The following is a 22,717-nucleotide window of genomic DNA, read 5'->3' as shown; positions in this document are numbered from 1 at the left end:
CTTAGTTTCCTAATAGGTAAAACTGGAATAACTCCTACCTTGAGTGTTTATGATGAGTCTTCAATGAGAGAATAAATGCAAAAGTCCCTGGCACACAGCACATACTCAACTTGTTTTAGTTGACAACTCCCCAGCCCCAACCCCACCCTTAAGTCCTAAGAATAACTATCTTTAAAAGGATTATCTAGAAAATTCTGGGTTGGTAAATTCTCTTTTAAAAAAATAAGATACAACGCATCAAGTATCACTAAAGTTGCTCCACAGTGCTAGACTCAGATCATGGTACTAGACTCAGCACTAAGAGCCAACAAAGTTAGTGCCTTTGGATGCTAAGGGCCTAAAAGAAGGAAAACTGATGTCTCAAAGAGGAGTATACAAATATCTAAACCAGAAATGAGCAGAGATCAGTTAAAATGCATATATGTAAATGTATGTAAATAAACCATGCTATTATGCACAAAACAGTGCTACGTGCATCTAATTATGAATGTTGCCAAACTTCTAGAAAAAAAAAGAAATGGCGGGGGAGGGGGTGCGGAAAAGTAATTTTCATTATTGCTTCTTCTTTCCCCCTTTATCTTGGTAATTTTTCTCTGAAGATTAGAAAACTGTTTCTAGTGTTAACAGCTAGTTATCTTCCAACTATTCTGCTTTTATTCTTGCATCAATTGGAGCAATTTTTAAAAACCAGGCAATAAGTAATAGTATCTATACCAATCACTGAATCTGAATTAAATGGTGCATGTGCCAGGCATTCTTTATCAATAGTCTAGATAAAATTAACAGTGATCAAAATCTAAGTATCTCCTTTGGCAGGCGCAAAAAAAGTGAAAGCTTTTAAAGAGATGAAGAATTTTGTTGGTAGCCAATTCATACTGCTCTGGAAACCAAAGATGGACAGGGAAAAACACAAGTAAGGAGAATACTGCCACTGCCACAGCATGGGGATCGCAAAAGCAGGTCGCTTAGGCCAAAGTGGAAAAGGGTTTTTCCAATGAGGCAGTAAACATCACCATTCTGTGTTTGGCATAGGTTTATAAACTTGTGTTCAAGTCCCAGTGTCCAGAGACTTAGGTTTTCCTCCCCATTTTGTTACAAACTATTTATCTGATACTGGGCAAGCCACTATACGTCTCTGGGCCTCAGTCTCTTCATCTGTAGGAATAAGGATCTCATGGGCTCTAAGACTGCTTTAGCTCAACGTTGGATGAATGCCATTTGTCTGGCACTGTTACATATGGCAAGTCAAAAACAAGGGAGGATATCCAGCAGGCAACAGGAGAGAGAAACTCTAGAATGGATATATAGATTTTAGAACCATCAAGCGTAGGAGGTGGTAGCTGAAGCCTTGGGTGTGAATGATATCACCCAGAAGGAATGCAGCATGAAAGAAGGCAACCAGAAAAGGAATCCTGGGGTAAACTAACATTTAAAGAACAGGCAGAGGAAATGGAGACGATGATGACACACAGTGGGGAGACCAGGAGAGAATGAGGAAAATGGAGGCAGAGAGGAGAAGATGAGTGCACACTGTCACAAATATAAAATAAGGATCAAAAAATAACTACTGGATTTGGCAGGTAGATCATCAGTAGCCCAGTTAAGAACAGTTTTAAAGGAACAGTGAAGGAAGAAAACAGATTATTTAGGACACTGAAGAATGAGTAAGAGGTGAAATGACAGCAATAGATTTCCTTCTTTCAATGTTTTGTTAAAAAGGGAAAGAGATATGGGGTAGTATTACAGAAGGCTAGAGTCAAAGCAGGTGAGTTTTATTTTTTTCTTTTTCTTAAAGATGGACAAATATGTAAGTTACAAAGACAGCTATTAGAAAGATACCGATTCTACCAACAAACACTAAGAACTTCCTACATACAAGCCACCACTTTAGTGGGACATGGGCCCAACATTTATAGGCATAGTGATGAAGTTTATAGTTTCTTCCAGCATAGACATCTGAAAAGAATTCTATAATTAATGATTTAATTACAAGTTCGATAAGGGTTAGTGTTGTCAGTGGTTAGGGCCAGGGCTTCTCAACATGGGCTGGGAATGTGGTATCTGCGCTGATCTGTGAGTGCTTTATGGGTGTGGAAATGTTAATACTCAGTCCCTTAGGGCAGTTTAGCTGAGCTTCAGGGAACTGAAAGCCTTGGGCCAGTCACCTCAAACAGGCACTCTTTTTACCCCACTGTATTGAACAAATATTATCATTTTCTGTGTTTGTCAGGATGTATCAAAGGTTTAAAGCACTGCAGGACTTTAGAGATACCTTTTCTCTACGAAAAAGGGTAAGGATCGGTAGGGAGGTATAGGTAGGTGCTGGAGCACTGGGAGTGAGGACAGAAGATGACAGGACTCTGGCTTAATGACCTCTAAATTTCTTTCTGCACAGGAATCAGAGTAAAGGTTTTCTTGTCTATTTTCCCTTCTACATTCATTCACTGCCTATTTCGTTCTAGGTACCATTCATCTAAGCAATCACATACATTAATCCATATAGTCCTCAAAACAATTCCATGGAAGAGTATTATGAGTCTCAGTTTCCAGATGGGAAAGTGAGACACAGGGAAATTAACTGGCCTGCACAAGGACACAACACTGTGAGAGACAGCTTCAAAGCAGATGGTCTGGCTCCAGCATCCAAACTCTTACCTACCTCTCAGTGCTGCCTCTCTAAGGTCTTTGTGACAGGAATGAAGAGTTGGAAGAGAGGGTTTGCGTAAAGATATTCAGAGTTGCCACTACAGTAACGGGAGGCACATGCTGTGCTAGGCAGTGCTGAGAGTCAAGGGAGACGGGAGAACAGAATGTTTTTAGTTATGTTCCACAGTTTAGTGACTGTCTCCAGTAGTGCCTGGGAGAAAGATGATGGTTTGAATAACATAGAGCTGGGGTGTAACAGGAAAAGAGGATGGAAGGAAGCAATGATCCAGGCTAGCAAGTATTTATTAATCAGTAATCAACCAATCAGCAATAAATACTGTTGAATAAATAATTGTGCAGTATTATCAGCCTAATTTCTATAACTTTTCAAAGTTATTATGGGAAAGGCTGGGTGTGGTGGCTCACGCCTGTAATCCCAAGACTTTGGCGGGCCGAGGCGGGCAGATCACTTGAGGCCAAGAGTTCAAGACAACCCTGGTCAACATGGTAAAACCCCATCTCTAATAAAAATACAAAAATTAGCCCAGCATGGTGGCGCACACCTGTAATCTCAGGTATTCAGGAGGCTGAGGCAGGAGAATCACTTGAGCCTGGGAGACAGAGGTTGCAGTGAGCCAAGATGGCACCACTGCACCCCAGCCTGGGGGGACAGAGCAAGACTGTCTCAAAAAAAAAAAAAAAAAGTTATTATGAAAAATATACTCAGAATTCATCTTGGGAGGGCAGAAGATGTCACCCTCAAGAAGAAATAACACGATTCCAAAAGGAAAGAATGCTGAAAGAAATCACAGAAGGGCCCTCAGGAGGGTGTAAAGGTTCCTCCTAGGCTAATTCTCCTTGCCTATTTCCCTATCTGCTTTTCTTTTCGAGACAGGGTCTCACTCTGTGGCCCAGGCTGGAGTGCAGTCGTGCAATCACAGCTCACTGCAGCCTTGACCCATTCCCATCTCAGCCTTCTGAGGAGCTGGGACTACAGGGGCATGCTACAATGCCCTGCTAATTTTTTGTAGAGATGGGGTACCACCCACCTCAGCCTCCCAAAGTGCTGAGATTACACATGTGAGCCACCTCCCCTGGCCAAGATATCTGCTTTTTTTTTTTTTTCTTTTTTAGAGGCGGGATCTTGGGTTCAAGCAATCTTCCTGCCTTGGCTTCTTAAAGTCCTGGGATTATAGGCAAGAGCCACCACGCCTGGCCTGTATCTGCTTTTCTTTTCTTACTTTGCACCTAGACATAAAGACAAAAGCAACGACAAGTGATCAAGAATATAGAAGACTGTAAAGAAAATGCTAAAACTGAAGTTTTCTTGGGCATTTCTTGCTAAAAGCCCGAGAGAGGGGCAGAGACTAAATAAATTATTGCTGGTCCAGGGAATGGCTTTGGGGGACATGGTGGTGGTGGAAGTTCAGGGGTGAAAGAGCGACTGAAGGGATCTAGTACTGGGGGTAGGTAAAAAGAGAATAAAACCACTGGAGGCAGTGGTGGGGAGGGAAAGGGAGCTCCCAAATCCACTGGGTCTGCTCTGGATCACACAGTCAACAAAGACAGTCAGCTGCTGCTTCTGGTTCCTCTTTTCCTGGCAAAATTTTAAATAACTAGCTGGTGGTTACTATTTTTAAAGATTAAATAAAAACAACCCACGCCCCTCAATGCAGCCTCAGCAAAAGAATAAATGTTAAACGTTAATAACACTCTTAGGAATAGAGGCTCAAGGAAGGGTGGAGAAGCAACCAAAAAGAATAAAAATGATCTCGCAGCTATAAATTTGTAACAGAAAGCTGTCCAGGGCATTTCGGTAGTACAAGAGCTGATATCCTTTAGCAGGCAAGAAAGCACTTAAAATAGAGTGAAACAAAGAACTATGACAAACTGCCTAAGGATTCTTATAAATGACTTGCAATTTTATAAACACCTATCCGCCAATGTTTAGGAGATAAAACTTTTGACTTGGCTGATAATACAATCCTTTCTCTCTTTAATTTGTGTGTCTATTATCCCCCTAAAGATATTTACATCGGCCAAGCGCGGTGGCTCACGCCTGTAATCCCAGCACTTTAGGAGGCCAAGGTAGATGGGTCACAAGGTCAGGAGTTCAAGACCAGCCTGGCCAAGATGGTGGAACCCATCTCTACTAAAAATACAAAAAAATTAGCTGGAGGTGGTGGCAGGCTCCTGTAATCCCAGCTACTCAGGAGGCTGAGACAGAGAACTGCTTGAACGGAGGCAGAGGTTGCAGTGAGCCAAGATCACGCCACTGCACTCCAGCCTAGGCAACAGAGCGAGCCTCCATCTCAAAAAAAAAAAAAAAGGTTGGGCACAGTGGCTCATGCCTGTAATCCCAGCACTTTGGGAGGCTGAGGCGGGCAGATCACGAGGTCAGGTGATCAAGACCATCCTGGCTAACATGGTGAAACCCCATCTCTACTAAAAATACAAAAAAATTAGCCGGGCATGGCGGCGGGCGCCTGTATTCCCAGCTACTGGGGAGGCTGAGGTAGGAGAATGGCGTGAACCCGGGAGGTGGAGCTTGCAGTGAGCCGAGATGGCGCCACTGCACTCTAGCCTGGATGTACAGAGCAAGACTCTGTCTCCAAAAAAAAAAAGATATTTACATCTCCAATATCACTAAAGAAAATTTTACTTTCCTGAAGTTTCACTTGGAGGAGGGGGGTGAAACAACACATTCCTTATCCTAAAATAGCAAAGACAACAATGCAAGGAATAATACTTCAGAGTTCCAGCAGATATTTCCTGTATTTCACTCATTGTACTAATCACAATCAAAACTAGCAATTAAAAGGAAAAAAACACTACTCCTAGTAACAAAAAAACTCTACCCACCATTCTTTGCCTGCCATCACTCCCCAAACAAATATCACCACACATCTGAATATTATGAAAAAATAACATACTTCCAAGGCTATCAACATATGGAAATGTGATATTAGGCAGTCTAACCATTCCTTAGGGTGACAGTGATAGTAGTAATTTTAAAAATCATTATTCTAGAATAAAAGCTAGAAATAATCAAATGTTGGGTTTGGTCATTTATATTTAGGTGTTATAGCTGTATCTGCAGAATTCTTAAAAACTTTATTAAAATTCCTGCATTAAAAATACTTTGGCATTGTGAATTTGGAATATGATTTACTTACTTCCTTTATTAGTTATAACAAATGTTCTTGTAATGCAGTTTTCTCAGGATGAAGTTTTTGTTCAATTATGAACATGGTGTTTTAACAGAACATGAAACAGGACACATCATTATAAAAGCCAAGCGTAAAAGAAAAAAAGACAACCACAAGCAGTTTGTGTGCCAAGGGATTTGAAGAGAGATAAGTGGTCCATCCTATCTCTTCTTTTATCTTCCACAATAGGATGGTTAGCTGGGCAATCAACTACTCAGAAGACGATGACATTTCCCAGTCCCCTCATAGGTAGGTACGGTCAAATTACTAAGGTCTGGCCAATGTGATATCAACAGAAAGAATGTGTGCAACTTCCAGATCTTGCTCTTAAATGGAATGGGTGTATCTTCCCTTCTCTTTCTCCCTTCCCAATGGGTGAAATGGGATGTGGTAATCAGCTATATTGGACAAAGGGTGAAGAGCCAGACCAGTAGATGATGAAGGAACAGGGTAGAAGGGCCTGTTGCCCAATACCCTCATGAAGCAGAGTTGCTGTACTAGTTGAGACCATGGCATGACCTAGAAATAAACTTCTATCTTGTTTTAAGTACCTGTTATTTGGGGTCTTCACTACATGTACTTAAACCCATTGTCCAACAAATACAAAGCAAATGAGACAATTTTCAGTCAAGTGGCAACAAATAATTGCTGCTACTTGGTGTCTCCACCAGAACCATAAACCATGGTACTAAAACTTTTAAAAGCTAATTTAACTCTTATGTAGAAGATACAAATCCCTTATAAACTTTTCATTGTTAATCCTCTTGATAATTTTTTTTTTATTATTTTTTTTGAGACGGAGTGTTGCTCTGTCAGACAGGCTAGAGTGCAATGGCACAATCTCGGCTCACTGCAACCTCTGCCTCCATGATTCTCCTGCTTCAGCTTCCTGAGGAGCTGGAATTACAGGCACCCATCAGCACACCTGGCTAATTTTTGTATTTTTAGTAGAGATGGGGTTTCACCATATTGGCCAGGCTGGTCTCGAACTCCTGACCTCAGGTGATCCACCCGTCTCAGCCTCCCAAAGTGCTGGGATTACAGGCGTGAGCCACCATGCCCGGCTAATAAATATTTTTTGCACTGCTTCTGCTTACATAAATGAAATTTTGTTCTAGGCTGGATTCTTACAAAAGTAAATATGGTTTACTTCTTTGAAATCAGAGTATTGCAAAGAAACTTTTAAACTAATGTAAAATTATCTAGGAACACGCATTAAGAGTGTTGAACTAGTTGATCGATAGACTGTGCTAGTGTTACTATTTGTTTTCTTTTCTTTTCTTTCTTTTTTTTTTTTTTTGAGACTGAGTCTTGCTATGTCACCCAGGGTGAAGTGTAGTGGCACGAACTCAGCTCACTGCAACCTCTGCCTCCCAGGTTCAAGCAATTCTCCTGCCTCAGCCTCCAGAGTAGCTGGGACTACAGCCACGCACCACCACGTGGACCCAGCTATGTTTTGTATTTTCAGTAGAAACAGAGTTTCTCCATGTTGGCCAGGCTGCTCTCGAACTCCTGGCCTCATGTGATCCAACTACCTCAGCCTCCCAAAATGCTGGGATTACAGGTGTGACCCACCGCACCTAGTGTTACTATTTCTGATAGATGCTGTTTCCACGTAAGTTTTCAGCATAATCAAAATGGCTTTTCTAAATTGCATTTTTGTTTCTTTTTATTCTTGCAGTTAAAACAGCAACCATTTGATATGCTAAGACTTCCCCATCAAGATATTATCTAAATAAACTATCAGTTAAAAATAATTGGTGGACACAAATTCCAAATACTAATTTGCTAATTGTTGAAAGACTACAGCTTATTTGAAAATAAGCAAATTGTGGCCCGGTGCAGTGGCTCACACCTGTAATCCCAACATTTTGGGAGCCCAAGATGGGCGAATCACCAGAGGTCAGGAGTTTGACACCAGCCTGGCCAACATGGTAAAAACCTGTCTCTACAAAAAATACAAAATTAGCCGGGCGTAGTGGCGCACACCTGCAGTCCCAGCTACTCAGAAGGCTAAGGCAGGAGAATCACTTGAATCCAGGAGGCAGAGGTTGCAGTGAGCCGAGATCGTGCCACTGCACTCCAGCCTGGGTGACAGACTGAGACTCCATCTCAAAACAAAACAAACAAACAAATAAAAAACCCAGAAAACAAGCAAACTGTGTGAGGAATGATGTGTTTCCTCTGTTTTCAGACTAAGAGCTTGCTGTACTACAGCTATTAGTAATTTTAGGAAATTCTCCAAGCTTCAACCACTCTGCTTTTGCTGATTATATTCTATTACACTTCAGAGCAAGACTGTGTTTGAACAAAAACCCTGACCTTAGCCGAAAGATCTTAAAACCACTGAATATATAGCTGATAGAGCACTGGCCTTCTTTTCAGTAGTAGAAAGGGGATGCTGTCAAGAAAAGGAAAGGAAGAAAAATCACAGGAAAGACTTGATTTGATAAAAAATAAGTAATGAGATTATCTTCAAAATTTGTCTTAATGTTTAAAAATGTCTAGATCTTCCATTCCATATCTGTGTAATGCTGTGGAAGTCAGAAACATCTAGGTTCCAAACCTGGCTTATCATTTACTAGCTATGTCTCTTTGGATATGTTAGTTAAGTTTCCTGGGTCCTTGTTTTTTTCTATCTGTAAAATGGGGAAATCTGCACTTTTCTCATGGGACTGTTAACAGGATTAAGGAAGATAATCTACGCAAAGCTCCCAACAGAGTACTTGGTCCAAAGCAGACACTCAATAAATAAATGTTAGTTCCCCTCTCCACCCACTCCACCAACAACCATCAAAACCTCAAAAAAAAAAAAAAGAAGCCAAGCATGATGGCCCATGCCTGTAGTCCCAGCACTTTGGGAGGCAGAGGCAGGCAGATTGCTTGAGTCCAGGAGTTCTAGACTACCACTGCGGGCAACATAGTGAGACCTCATCTCTACAAAAAATACAAAAATTAGCAGGGTGTGATGACACACACTTGTCCTAGCTATTCAGGAGGCTGAGGTGACAGAATCATTTCAGCCCAGAAGGTCAAAGCTACAGTGAGCCAAGATAGTGCCACTGAACTTTAGCCCAGGTGACAGAATGAGACCTTGTCTCAAGAGGAAAAAAAAAAAAACAGAAAAAGAAGCCAGGCATTGTGGTATGAGCCTGTAGTCCCAGCTACTCAAGAGGCTGAAGTGGGACGATTGCTTGAACGCAAGAGTTGGAGACCAGCCTGGGCGAGACCATCAAAAAGATTAAATTAAATTAAAATCTCAGAAAAAAATTACAAATCAAAGGGTCCTGATATGAGTTGTATGCCTTTTTGGAATGAGTGAATTTTATGAAGATCAGCTAAAAACCACCTCCTTTGAAGGTGAGAAAAATTTGCACACCCATGTTCATAGCATCATTATTGTAAATGAAAAGTAAAAACAACTCAAATGTCCATCAACTGATGAATGGATAAATAAAACATGGTATATCCTCGCAATATTATCCAGCAATAAAACAAATGAAGAGCTAAGAGTGGTGGCTCATGCTGGTAATCCTAGCACTTTGGGAAGTCAAGGTAGGAGGACTAATTGAGGTCCAGGAGTTCCAGACCAGCTTGGGCAACATAGTGAGACCTCATCTCTACAAAAACTAAAAACACTAGCCAGCCATGGTGGCACACACCTGTAGCCATAGCTATTCAAAAGGCTGAGGTGGGAAGATCACTTGTGCCCAGAACTTGTGGCTGTAAGGGAGCTATGATGATATCACTGTACTTCAGCCTAAGTGACAGAGCAAGATCCATCTCAAAAGAAAGAAAAGAAAGGCCAGGTGCGGTGGCTCATGCCTGTAATCCTAGCACTTTGGGAGGCCAAGATGGGTGAACTGCTTGAGGCCAGGAGTTCAAAGCCAGCCTGGCCAAAATGGCGAAACAATGTCTCTACTAAAAATACAAAAAAGTAGCCGGGCATGGTGGCACACACCTGTAATCCCAGCTACTCTGGAGGCTGAGTTAGGAAAATCGCTTGAACCTGGGGGGCGAAGGTTGCAGTGAGCCGAGATCATGCTACTGCACTCCAGCCTGGGCAACAAGAGTGAAACTCCATCTAAAAAAAACGAAAGAAAAGAAAAGGCAGAGCAGGAAATAAATAAATTAAGAGAAAAATGAATGAAGTACTGATACATGCTGCAACATGACTGAACCTTGAAAACATGGTAAGTGAAAGAAGCCATTCATAAAACACCATACTTTCTATGACTCCATTTATATCAAATATCCAAAATAGGCAAATGCATAGACAAAGAAATAGATTCAGGTTTGCCAGGGGATGAGTAGGGGGAAAGGGAATTGACTGCTAATGAATATGGGATTTCTTTTTATTTTGGAGACAGGGTCTCACTCTGTTGACCGGGCTGCAGTGCAGTGGTGTGATCTCAGCTCACTGCATTCTCCATCTTCTGGGCTCAAGTGATCCTCCCAGCTCAGCCTCCCCAGTAGCGGGACTACGGACACACACCACCCTGCATGGCTAATTTTTGTATTTCGCCATGTTGCCCAGGCTGGTCTCAAACTTCTGGCCTACAATGATCCGCCCACCTTAGCCTCGCAAAATACTGGGACTACAGGCATGAGCCACCTTACCTGGCTGAGGTTTCTTTTGGAGTTCTAAAAACGTTCTAAAATCAGATCACAGTGATGGTTGCATAACACTATGAACCTACTAAAAAACATTCCATTATATATTAAATTGGTATATTGTATGATACGTGAATTATACCTCAATAAAGTTGGGGGTTTTTTAAACCTTACTGCATCTAAAGTTTAATAAATCAAATCGGGGTGTTCAAAAGACACTGTCATCTAGAAAACAGGCTACATTAATGGGTATGTGTATATAAACTTCAAGTCATTTATAAGAATCTTTAAGCAATTCATCATGTTTCTGTCTTTTTACTCATTACATAAAATGAGTATCTTATCTCCTGTGCATCTGAAGTGATACCGGCTACGTACTATCCTTGGGAGAACTGAAGAGGTTCACTCAGTTTTCTGTAGAGGTTATCTGTGGAACTCTCATTGATATATATTCTTTTTAAATAGAACATTTATAGAAATTGACTACATACCAGATCATAAAGCAAGTTATAAAAAATTCAAAGAACTGGTATCAGGCATATCGCTTCATCTGTCAACAATGCAATCAAGCTGGGTGTACTGGCTCATGCCTATAATCCCAGCACTCTGGGAGGCTGAAGTAGAAGGATGGCTAGAGCCCAGCCTGGGCAACAAAGCTAGAACCTGACTCTACAAAAAACTTAAAAATTAGCCAGGCATGGCAGCATGTGCCTGCAGTCCCAGCCACTCAGGAGGCTGAGACAGGAGGACCGCTTGAGCCTGGGAGGTCAAGGCTGTAGTGAGCCATGAACATGCATGCCACTGTACTGAAGCCTGGATGTCAAAGACTTTGTCTCAAAAAAAAAAATGCAATCAAGTTATAAATCAATAAAAGATAACTTCTGTAAAGGTCAGCCACAAAAAAGTCTACTACTGTGCTATTTACTTATAATGTACACAGTGCATGTAATGCATATATATACACAGTCACTTGACAACGTTAGCTCACAAGAAAATGAAATGAGGTTGGATATATGCTTGCATGCTGCCAACAAATTTCCTTATTAAATTTAATACATTAGGTTCTCAAAAACTGTATATAATCAATCATATTTAAGAACATTAAAGAGTTTGCTATTTAAAGGATTCAGAGTAAAACCTTTTGTACTATAATTATTGCCTAACTTGTCTGCTCTCGGTTCTTTCAAAAGCTTATTCTGTATATAGCACAGTGTTGAATGCACTATCACTATCTAGGAGCGTACAATCCATCAGAAGCTTGCATGATGCAAAACAATGCAAGAAAGGAATTTGGTACTCTGGTCAATGCCAAGGTCAGCATTTCCCCAAAGTGTTCTTCTAATTCAGCAAGCCAAGGCCTGGAACCAGGCCATGGCTTTCTCATCATTGTGAATTTATCCTTGAGCAGTTTCTGAAAAAGAACTTCAGCAGAAAAATGAGCTTTAATCACCTAAGGTGAATAAGTAGCTTAAAAACCTGAAAGACAACCAATAATCTTCCTAATAAATAAAATGGTGGGCCAAGTCATACCTCTCCCTTCTCTTCTCTGCACTAAATATCACAAAATGACTTGAGTCTTTTTTTTTTCCAAAGGCAAGGTCTCATTCTGTTGCCCAGGCTGGAGTGCAGTGGTATGATCATGGCTTGCTGCAACCTCGACCTCCTGGGCTCAAATGATCCTCCCACCTCACCCTCCCGAGTAGCTGGAGCATGCAACCATGCCCAGCTAGTTTTTTGGAGACGTAGGATTTCACCATGTCGCCCAGGCTGGTCTCAAACTCCTGGGCTCAAGCAATCCACCCGCCTTGGCCTCCCAAAGTGCTAGGATTATAGGCATGAGCCACCGTACTGGCCAAGATGTTTTTTAAAAGACTCAATTCTCAAATACCTTACTTGCGTAGCCTAGGCAGTAAGATTAAGACTAAACCAAGCGTCCATTTCTTACACTGTGATATTTTTTCTTCCCAGTTCCTCCCACCCTGCCTAGTCTTCTTTTCACACCTGGACACAGTACAGGCAACACTATATTCTTTGCTTATGTGTAAAAAGGGCATGACCTTGCCTACTTTTAACTGTCACCACTCATTTGCTTGAGAAAAAATAGTTATGTGTGAATATTAAATTAAATATTATTATTTTTTTTTTTTTGAGACAGAGTCTCGCTCTGTCGCCCAGGCTGGAGTGCAGTGGCCGAACCTCGGCTCACTGCAAGCTCCACCTCCCGGGTTCACGCCATTCTCCTGCCTCAGCCTCCCGAGTAGCTGGGACTACAGGCGCCTGCCACCACGCCCGGCTAATTTTTTGTATTTTTAGTAGAGACAGGGTTTCACCGTGTATGCCAGGATGGTCTCAATCTCCTGACCTTGTGATCTGCCCACCTCGGCCTCCCAAAGTGCTGGGATTACAGGCGTGAGCCACCGCGCCCCGCCAATTTTTTTTTTTTTTTTTTTTTTTGAGACAGAGTCTCACTCTGTTGCCAGGCTGGAGTGCAGTGGTATGATCTCGGCTCACTGCAACCTCCACCTCTCAGGTTCAAGTGATTCTCCCGCCTCAGCCTCCCGAGTAGCTAAGACTACAGGTGTGCACCACCATGCCCAGCTAAGTTTTGTATTTTTAGTAGAGACGTGGTTTCACCATGTTGGCCAGGATGGTCTCAATCTCTTGACCTCGTGATCCGCCAGCCTCGGCCTCCCAAAATGCTGGGATTAGGCGTGAGCCACCGCACCCAGCCCCCTAAATATTAAATTTTAATTTAGGCTGGACTTAGTGGCTCACATCTGTAATCTCAGCACTTTGGGAGGCCAATGTGGGTGGATCACTTGAGCTCAGGAGTTGGAGACCAGCTGGGCAACATGTCTCTACAAAAAATACAAAAATTAGCCAGCCACAGTGGTGTGTGCCTGTATTCCCAGCTACTAGGGAGGCTGAGGTGGGAGGATGGCTTGAGTCCCAGGGGCAGAGACTGCAGTGAGCCAAGATCACACCACTGCACTCCAGCCTGGGCAACAGAACCAGACACTGTCTCAAAAAAAAATTAATTTAGATATTGATTATATTGCCAAGAGATATGTATGTATTAACTTATACATAAGTATCTTTGGTACAACTATACCATTTGTGAGTGTGCAAGGCCCTGCTACATCTCGTTCTATTAGTAGATTCGTAAGAGGGAAGAGGTGGGAATTACTTCAGTACATTAATATACAAGCTTGAGGTTTGAATTACATGAACCTGACCAAAGCTGACAAGCGGGACTTCCAAAACCCCAAGAGTTCCTTTGTAATTCAACCCTGAGTGGCTAATAACATGAGAAAGAATTTTTGCTCTCTGATCACAAAATGAGAATGTTGAATTATACAACTGGAGCAATAACTATGCACACCAGGACTGGATGGAGCACAGAACACAGGGGTGAAGATGGTGCCTAGCACCAAACTCCCATGCAAACAGACTGGGGTCATTGGAAGCTGGGCATGAGATAGGGTAAGATTTAACAGCTAAAATAAAAACAACAGGTTAAATACAAAGCCAGATATAGTAAGAATGTACAGAAACATTATGAAGGCCAACAAAAACAGCCTAAAGAAGGAAGAGGAGTGTTCACGAACTGGCTAAAGTATAAAAACCAAATACAAAAAAAAAATGTAAAATATTTTACATAAAATATAAAAAGCTGCCGGGCGCGGTGGCTCACGCCTGTAATCCCAGTACTTTGGGAGGCCGAGGTGGGCGGATCACGAGGTCAGGAGATCGAGACCATCCTGGCTAACACAGTGAAACCCCATCTCTACTAAAAATACAAAAGAAAAAAATTAGCTGGGCGTCTCTAGTCTCAGCTACTCAGGAGGCTGAGGCAGGAGAATGGCGTGAACCTGGGAGGCGGAGCTTGCAGTGAGTCGAGATCGCGCCACTGCACTCCAGTCTGGGTGACAGAGCAAGACTCTGTCTAAAAAAAAAACAAACAAACAAACAAAAAAATATATAGATATATATAGCAAACACCCTTTAAATGAAAAGACTTTCCCTGGTCATCATGTTCCACGCACTTTGTACTATACACATAAACACACATTACTACTAATCCCTCATTTGGCCAATGCTGAGGGCCTGCTACGAAAGTCAGGCACTGGTCTAGGCACTTGGGATGTGCCAAAGCAGACAAGGGTCCCCTTGTGGAGCTTAGATTGAAGGAACAAGACAAATTATACCATAACAGATAAACAGATTATATGGAATGATAGAAGGTAGAAAGCACTAAGGAAAAGTTAGAAAAAGAGAGCAGGGATGAGGGCTTCCAATGGGTGAGGCAGGCAATCCAGCAGACCCAGTTGAGAATGTGAGATGTGAACTACACCTGGTGGTGGTGGTGGTAGTGGTGGTGGTGGTGGTGGTGGTGGTGGTGGTGGTGGTGGTGGTGATGGTGGTCATGGTGGTGATGGTGGTAAGACCAGGAGGAGTCAGCCCTACAGATATCTTGGGAAGAGGTTTCCAGGGGGAGCCCTCCAGGAAGAGGAAATAGCTATGCAAATCAATGAATTGAGAAACATAAACATGTTCTAGGCTTTATCACTAAAGCAAATATCAGACTTCTCCCACTCACTCATTCATCTTTAAAAGGTAATTTTTGGAAGGGGAAAAAAATAAGTACCAACACCCAGATTTTACAGAAACCATTCTAAAAACAAGCCACTGATTTAAAAACTTATCTACCTCTTTCAGTAGATAAGTGAATGTTTTCCTGAGCTGTCCAACAGGGGGAAAGATGATCTTGCAGGCAGTAATCCCAGGCCAGGTGCACCCTACCCAGCCTCCAGTGAACAGATTTTCACTCCCAACACCTGAAGTACCTCTAGTTTATGAATAACAGGTAGATTTGTCTTTCTCATTTGCAAAGTATTATTGATACCCACATTTATGCACGCTACAACAAGGACATTTCTGTGGAGAACAGGAATCAATTTATTCTAGTATCAACACAGTTAAATAATTTAAAAAGTGAATTCACAGAAAATATTTTGTCCTCATCCAACACTAGCTGGTAGGGGCCAGGGATGGTTTTGGATATCACTTGAGATGTCAAAAGATGTCTAAATCAACTGTCCTGATTTTATCTATAAAGACTGAGGGGGCAGAGATATAATTCAAACATACATGATTCTTGAATTTACTTGTCTCCTACTCTGAATGAGTAAAAGTTAATTACTTACCATCATGAAAATAGTTCTTTCTGATTCTATAAAGTTGCACCATCTCTGACATTTGAGGTAGCTTACTAATTAAAAACAAAGGTTCTCAATATTTCAATTTTTTTTCCCTGCTCAGTTGAGCTGCAGGAAATGGAAGCAGTTGAATGTGAATATAAATACGGATGTCCTTAGAGAACTGTTGTCATAAATTACATGATCAGGAAAAGAGCAAAACAATACAAAAGATCATAATCTCAAAAATCTCCTATTGCCATCGCAGAAAACAGGTAATTTTTATAGAAATGGTGTTGATAATAGCTGTTACACTAATAAATAACAGTGACTCCAAGTTCCCTGGACAAAGGCTATGATTACACCCTGTCAAGCTTTCTATGTTATATTATACGAATAGCTGGTTAAAATGAAGAAATAATGAAATCAGACCATCCCTTCAGGGGAAACAATTGCAGTGTTCAAGAGTTGTTTTTTTGTTTTGTTTTTTGTTTTTTTGAGACTGAGTCTTGCGCTGTTGCCCAGGCTGGAGTGCAATGGCGCAATCTCGGCTCACTCAACTTCCGCCTCCCAGGTTCAAATGATTCTCCTGCCTCAGCCTTTCAAGTAGCTGGGATAACAGGCATGCACTACCACACCCACCTAATTTTTTGTATTTTCAGTAGAGACAGGGTTTCACCATGTTGGTCAAGCTGGTCTCATACTCCTGACCTCAGGAGATCCACCCACCTTGGCCTCCCAAAGTGCTGGGATTACAGGCGTGAGCCACCGTGCTCAGCCTGTTCAAGAGTTTTTAAATTTTAATTTTTTTTTTTTTTTTTTGAGACAGGGTCTCACTCTGTGGCCCAGGTTGAAGTGAAGTGGTGCCATCTCGGTTCACTGCAACCTTCACCTCCAGAGCTTAGGCAATCCTCCCACCTCAGCCTCCTGAGTAGCTGGGACTACAGGTGCAGGCCACCATGCCCTGCTAATTTCTGTATTTTTTTGGTAGAGATGGAGTTTTGCCATGTCGCCCAGGCTGGTCTTGAACTCCTGGACTCAAGCAATCTGCCCACCTCAGACTCCCAGAGTGCTGGGATTACAGGCCTGAGCCACTGTGCCCAGCCAAGAGTTTTTTTTTTTTTTAATGTTTATATGTGTTGACCCAATACTTCTTCTAGGAATCTACCCAAAAGAAAGACAAAAATGTGTCCACTCAATGGGAAAGGATAGGAGAGGGGGGAGAGGGGAGGGGGAGAGGGGAGGGGGAGAGGGGAGGGGGAGAGGGGAGGGGGAGAGGGGAGGGGGAGAGGGGAGGGGGAGAGGGGAGGGGAGAGGGGAGGGGGAGGGGGAGGGGGAGGGGAGAGGGGAGGGGAGGGGAGGGGGAGGGGGGAGGGGGGAGGGGAGGGAAGGGGATCTGAAGACATCTTGGAAGATGCTGGTAAAGGATTATCATCAAAGCTGCAACTGAAAGAAAGAATAAAAAAGGGAAAGGAGATGTTTTATATTCTCATTAGAGAAAGGAGAGCAGGCTGCTTTGTAAAAGCATCCATTTATAGATGACCAGAGAGATGACGCAGTGGCAGTCACGAGGAATTTGGTGTTGCAAAAGGATACATTTTAGAGCAATGTGAGAAGTAGTGGAAAAGCCAGGTAAAATAATATGTTCCAGAAGTCTCTAAGAGGAAGAGGATGGAATCAGGGGGTTGAGGGAGGGAAAAGGAGGGTAGTGTGAGGGAGGAACAGAAGGCAGGCCAACAAAAGGACTTGTGTTAAGATTCTCCCTAAGGGTGTAAGTCTAGAATTAAAACTACTTAACTTTTTTTAAATATATATATTCAAGAAGGCCACATCTTGTGATGAAGGTTGAATCCAATGTTTCCAAGACAGTATCATCCTTATTACCTTAATTATGTGGCTAACCCAGTTTTTATAAATGATCAGGATTCCTGGTCTCTCCTTCCTCTAAAGGAAAGAGAAAAAGTCCTTTGCTCAGTAATGCAAAAGTGGGGTAGGTGCAAATGACTTGACGGCATTAAAGAAACTAAATCAAACTCATATTTAGAAATTACTTGAGTTATTTCTGAAACTTACATCAGTCAGTCATATGGCTGCTCTGGACCCAACCTGAAGGAATTAAGTGTGACCCCGTTCAGTTCAGCAAGCGTGCTCACTTTATCTCACTAAGTTTGCATAAAGAAAAGGAAATCTGAAAGACTGAAAACAGCTCAGCCAATGAGTAAAACTATCAAAAGAACTTGACTGTTCAGTTTTCATCCTTCTCCTTAATTGTGAGAATTCACTTTAATGCATACTTTATGTGCACAAAGACTGAAAATGTAATTACAAAAAAAGCAGCTCTAAAATACTATTAAAGCACTCTGTTGTTTCGGCTAAACAGGAGTCGGCAGTCATCACACACTTGCCAGTCTGTATCACTTGTGACTCAGTCAAGGACTGAACAGGAAATGTGCATGAGCCACCCTCACTGACTCCCATGTGCTGTGTTCTCCTCCTCTCAAACTCCCCCAGATCCATCAGACAACACGCATCCCATCCTCTGATTCAAAGAAGTGATGCTCGTTTGTATTAACGCTCCTCCATGCATAGAAGGGCTCAGCACCACCTAATGGTGCTATATTAAGGTAACACTCTTATTTTTAACCTTTTCCCTGTTTAGAATAATCAAAAAAGTGAGATAGCTGCTGTCTGCGTACTCCAGTTATTTGCCCAATGGATAAACTAAGAAAATTATTTAGATGAAGTACTATGATACTGACAAAGATCCAAAGATTTCAATATAAGATGCCAGATTTTCAAATGCCTTTTCTTAAAATATTTTTTAAATGATTTAAGTAGTTATGTTGTCAAATAATTAATAGTTTCCCCATTCCAACATGTGCTATTGAGCCCTTAAAAAGAATGAAGTAAATCTACATATGTTGACATGGAAAGTTCTCTAAGATAATTATGTGAAAAACAAGGTGCAGAAGAGTTTGTGTAGTGGAGTGCCTTGGTATAAATGGTGTCTCTGGGTATATATTCTTGTTTTGCCTAAAAGGCCATAGAATTCACAAAAGACTGGGGAAATTGGTAAGTTTCCCTACCTACATAACAAAAAAACTAAATTATTTCTTTTAAAATTTAAATTTCTAAAAGAAGTTAGTGGAAATATTTACTCATATAAATATCTGACTACATTTAAAGTAAATACTAATGATTCTTTCATAAAAAGTAATAACCACCAAGTTTTAAGGAAATATAACTAACCAAGACAAGTGACAGCTATTTTTAAAAACACGTAAATAAGATTTATCTAAATATCTTGGGTTATCCAACTCCTTAGTTACCGAATTCTCAGTCTATTTTTTTCATCTGTTTATTTATTTATTTAGAGACTGGGTTATGAGACTGGCTAAGTTTTGAATTTTTGGTAGAGGTGGGGTTTCGCCATGTTGCCCAGGCTGGTCTCAAACTCCTGGGCTCAAGTAATCCACTGTCTCAGCCTCCCAAAGTGCTGGGATTACAAGTGTCAGTGACGGCACCTGGCCATGAATTCTGTCTATTTTAATTCCACTTGAAAACTGTCTCTTTTAGGATCATCCAAACCAGGTCAACCTTCTGAGAGGTTCCCAGTCCTGGAGACAGGTCAAAAGTGAAGCTCAGACTGGTCTGGCACTTATACAGCCATTAGGAAGAGATGAGCAGAAAAGCTCTAAGATTCCACAGCCCAGACTGGCTATGGATATTAACGACCTGCCTCCAACCATCCATACCTGTTCTTTTGTTAATCTGTTTTTACCACCATGCAAGAGAGACAACCAAACTCATACAGTCAAAACTGAGTCATAAGACCCTCTCCCAATTTTTTATTTTTTGTTTCTACTTATAATTCTTACTTTTATACTTCTAAAACAATTCTATCCCTGTTAAAGACTCCTTTCGATATACTAAGTTTACTTACAAGTAAATTTGGAAACATGGAACTTCAACTACAAAGCACTCATAAATGACCTTGAATTCTTCTTACATGAACCAAAGTCTTACAGCCATGGACTTCTCAGACTAGAATACTACATGAAGATGGGAGCACCTATTGGCAAAGTATGATCAAATTATTCTGCTTTACTGAACATTATAAATTCCTTACATACAGCAGAAAGATATGTTCCAGGAACTACTGGAGATCACAAAGGTACAAAGAAATCCTACTCCTTGAGGGTGATAAGGCAAGACTGAGAGTGGAGGAGGAGACGGTGGGAGCACTTCAATATATTCCCAGGAGGTCACGTGCCAGAGGCTATTTATTTACTTTCTCATACATTTTTACTTGAGTCCATGGGAGATTTTACTTCTATGAATAAATGGCTTATTTTATAATGTAAATCAATACACAGACTTGTTGCTGAATACGTTCAACTGTCACAAAGTAAGAAAACTGTTCTAGAGGAACATGTATGTAGTATTCTCCTCAATGGCCACATTAAATATAATCTTGACGTACTTGATACTTTCTGTTAATAAAAAACTGGCTGGGCTCAGTGGCTCATGCCTGTAATCCTAGCACTTTGGGAAGCCAAGGCAGACAGATTGCTTGAGCCTAGGAGTTCAAGACTGGCCTGGGCAACATGGTGAAACACCACCTCTACAAAAACTACAAAAAAGCCCAGGTGTGGTGGTGCATGCCTGTAGTCCCAGCTACCCAGGGAGGCTGAAGTGGGAGGCAAGTTGAGGCTGCAGTTGAGCTAAGCTGTGATCGGGAGCCATTGCTCTCTAGCCCTGGTGACAGAGTGAGACCCTGTCTCAAAACAAATAAATAAATAAATAAATTTTTAAAAAATGAAAAACCTTACCAGTTTACTCTCCTAGCTAAACAGATTCACCACCACACAAAGGGTCAGAGAATGTACGACTGTGTGCACGACTAGCTTGCAAACACGCATCACCAGAGTCAGCATGGTTTTGCTCTCATTATTAGAGCCAATGGCTGTGAATGTGTTTATTCCTTTTAAAATGCAAGCTTGAGCTTAATTTATATGGCCAATTTAACTTAACAGTAGTATGAAAATCATTTTTAAAACATATCATGTTATTCAAAGTAGATATTTCTTTCAATAAAAAGAAAATGTCAAAGCACATAGTACTACATTACAGTTAAATGCAAAAAGGTGAATCTTGGAATCTGCAGGACAAGCCCATTAAGAGTTGTCATTCAAACCTGACAGTTATTTCACATTGTTAAAATAAGCCAGATAACGCTACCTAAAAACTAGTAATGTGAAATAAAAACAGCAAAACATATAAACTGATATAATACCAAGACAGACTAGCAACGCACATTTTATTATATATAAAACCATAAATATCTTTTAATATGTAATATTAGAGGTGGGTTAAACTTTTTAAATATATTTTGATATTTTCGATGACTTTTTCCTATTTGACAATTAATGTTGAACTCTCAATTAATAATCTGATCATGTAAGCTGCTTCACACTTATATAAATGCAGTATACTGTTATGTAAGTCCTAAACTATATCATATGAGGTAATACACGTACCAAGCTTAACACTAATACGTATTGACTTTACAAAATTAAAGAAAATTCTGCTGAATTCTAAACTGAACCGAAACATCAGCCAAATACAAAAGAGTTTCTTTTCTTGTAAAGGCCTCATCAATAAAATTAAACCTAAAATAATTCTCATAAAATCCCTTGAGGTAAACACTATTCTTATAGGTATGGGAATTCATATCAAAGAGAAAATAGCTAAAGATGTCATGGTTCATATTCAAACTCAGGACATCTGTTTCTGTGCTCTTAATTATTGAGGCAGTGGAGAAGGGTTGGTTGGGCTTTGATACCTCACATTTAAAAAGAAACAAAGGAGGCTGGGTACAGTGGCTCATGTTTGTAATGCCAGCACTTTGGGAGGCTGAGGCGGGTGGATTACCTGAGCTCAGGAATTCGAGACCAGCCCAGCCAACAGGGTGAAATCCCACCTCTACTAAAAATACAAAAAAAATTAGCAGAGCATGGTGGCAAACACCTGTAATCCCAGCTACTCAGGAGGCTGAGGCAGGAGCATCACTTGAACCTGGGAGGCGGAGGTTGCAGTGAACCCAGATGGCGCCATTGCATTCCAGCCTGGGCGACAAGAGTGAAACTCCATCAAAGAAAGAAAAGAAAAGATAAGAAAAGAGAAGAGAGGAAAAGGAGAGGGGAGGGGAGGAGAGGGGAGGGGAGGAGAGGGGAGGAGAGGGGAGGGGAGGAGAGGGGAGGGGAGGGGAGGGGAGGGGACGGGAGGGGAGGGGAGAGGGGAGGGGAGGGGAGGGGAAGGGAGAGGGGGGGGGAGGGGAGGGGAGGGGAGGGGAGGGGAGGGGAGGGGAGAGGAGAGGAGAGGAGAGGAGAGGAGAGGAGAGGAGGGGAGAGGAGAGGAGAAAAGAGTGTATTCCTAGTAGGAACTACTGATTTCCCAATAATGCCCACATCTCATCTCTACTTGTGGCCTTAGGTGATTCAGTAATCTCTGATGGGCTCTTTCTCATCTGCAAAATGGGTGGAATAATTTTTAGGTTGGGACATATCCTTAATGGACTGCTTTGTGTTTCCTTTTTTTTTTTTGTTTTGAGACAGAGTCTCGTTTTGTTGGCAGGATGGAGTGTAGCAGCGCGATCTCAGCTCACTGCAACCTCCGCCTCCCGGGTTCAAGTGACTCTCCTGCCTCAGCTTCCCAAGAAGCTGGGACTACAGGTGCATGTCACCACGCCTAGCTAATTTTTGTATTTTTAGTAGAGACGGGGTTTCACCATGTTGGCCAGGATGGTCTCGATCTCTTGACCTCGTGATCCGCCCACCTTGGCCTCCCAAAGTGCTGGGATTACAGGCGTGAGCCACTGCACCCAGCCAACAAGTTCTACATTTTTAAAAGACTGAACTCCACTCTGGTCTTAAACCAGGACATTAAGTCTAGGGCTATACACAAGTTCTACTTATTGTATGGGTTTTAATTCCAGCCAAGTATATAAAACAATGAGAAAGGCTGTAGAAGCATAAACTTAAGTTTAGC

General features: G+C 41.6%; 1 protein-coding gene across 1 annotated transcript in view, besides 2 other annotated features; it reads right to left on the bottom strand.

Moving 5' to 3' along the window:
• Window positions 1–22,717, bottom strand: part of DIP2B (disco interacting protein 2 homolog B) — a 243,673-nt gene that overhangs the window by 132,877 nt on the left and 88,079 nt on the right. The gene's annotated exons all lie outside the window — the stretch shown is intronic.
• Window positions 3,284–3,783: an enhancer, noted in NCBI's record as "H3K27ac hESC enhancer chr12:51005781-51006280 (GRCh37/hg19 assembly coordinates)". NCBI's record gives its function as "activates a minimal SCP1, AML or CMV promoter by ChIP-STARR-seq in naive H9 embryonic stem cells {active_cell/tissue: H9 hESC(naive)}" and the evidence as "EXISTENCE:reporter gene assay evidence [ECO:0000049][PMID:30033119]".
• Window positions 3,784–4,285: an enhancer, noted in NCBI's record as "H3K27ac hESC enhancer chr12:51005279-51005780 (GRCh37/hg19 assembly coordinates)". NCBI's record gives its function as "activates a minimal SCP1, AML or CMV promoter by ChIP-STARR-seq in naive and primed H9 embryonic stem cells {active_cell/tissue: H9 hESC(naive and primed)}" and the evidence as "EXISTENCE:reporter gene assay evidence [ECO:0000049][PMID:30033119]".

Source organism: Homo sapiens, chromosome 12, assembly GCF_000001405.40.
Source record: "Homo sapiens chromosome 12, GRCh38.p14 Primary Assembly".
Classification (NCBI taxonomy): domain Eukaryota; kingdom Metazoa; phylum Chordata; class Mammalia; order Primates; family Hominidae; genus Homo; species Homo sapiens.
The sequence above is the reverse complement of the archived record's forward strand: the minus strand, read 5'-3'. Positions and strand labels throughout refer to the sequence as shown.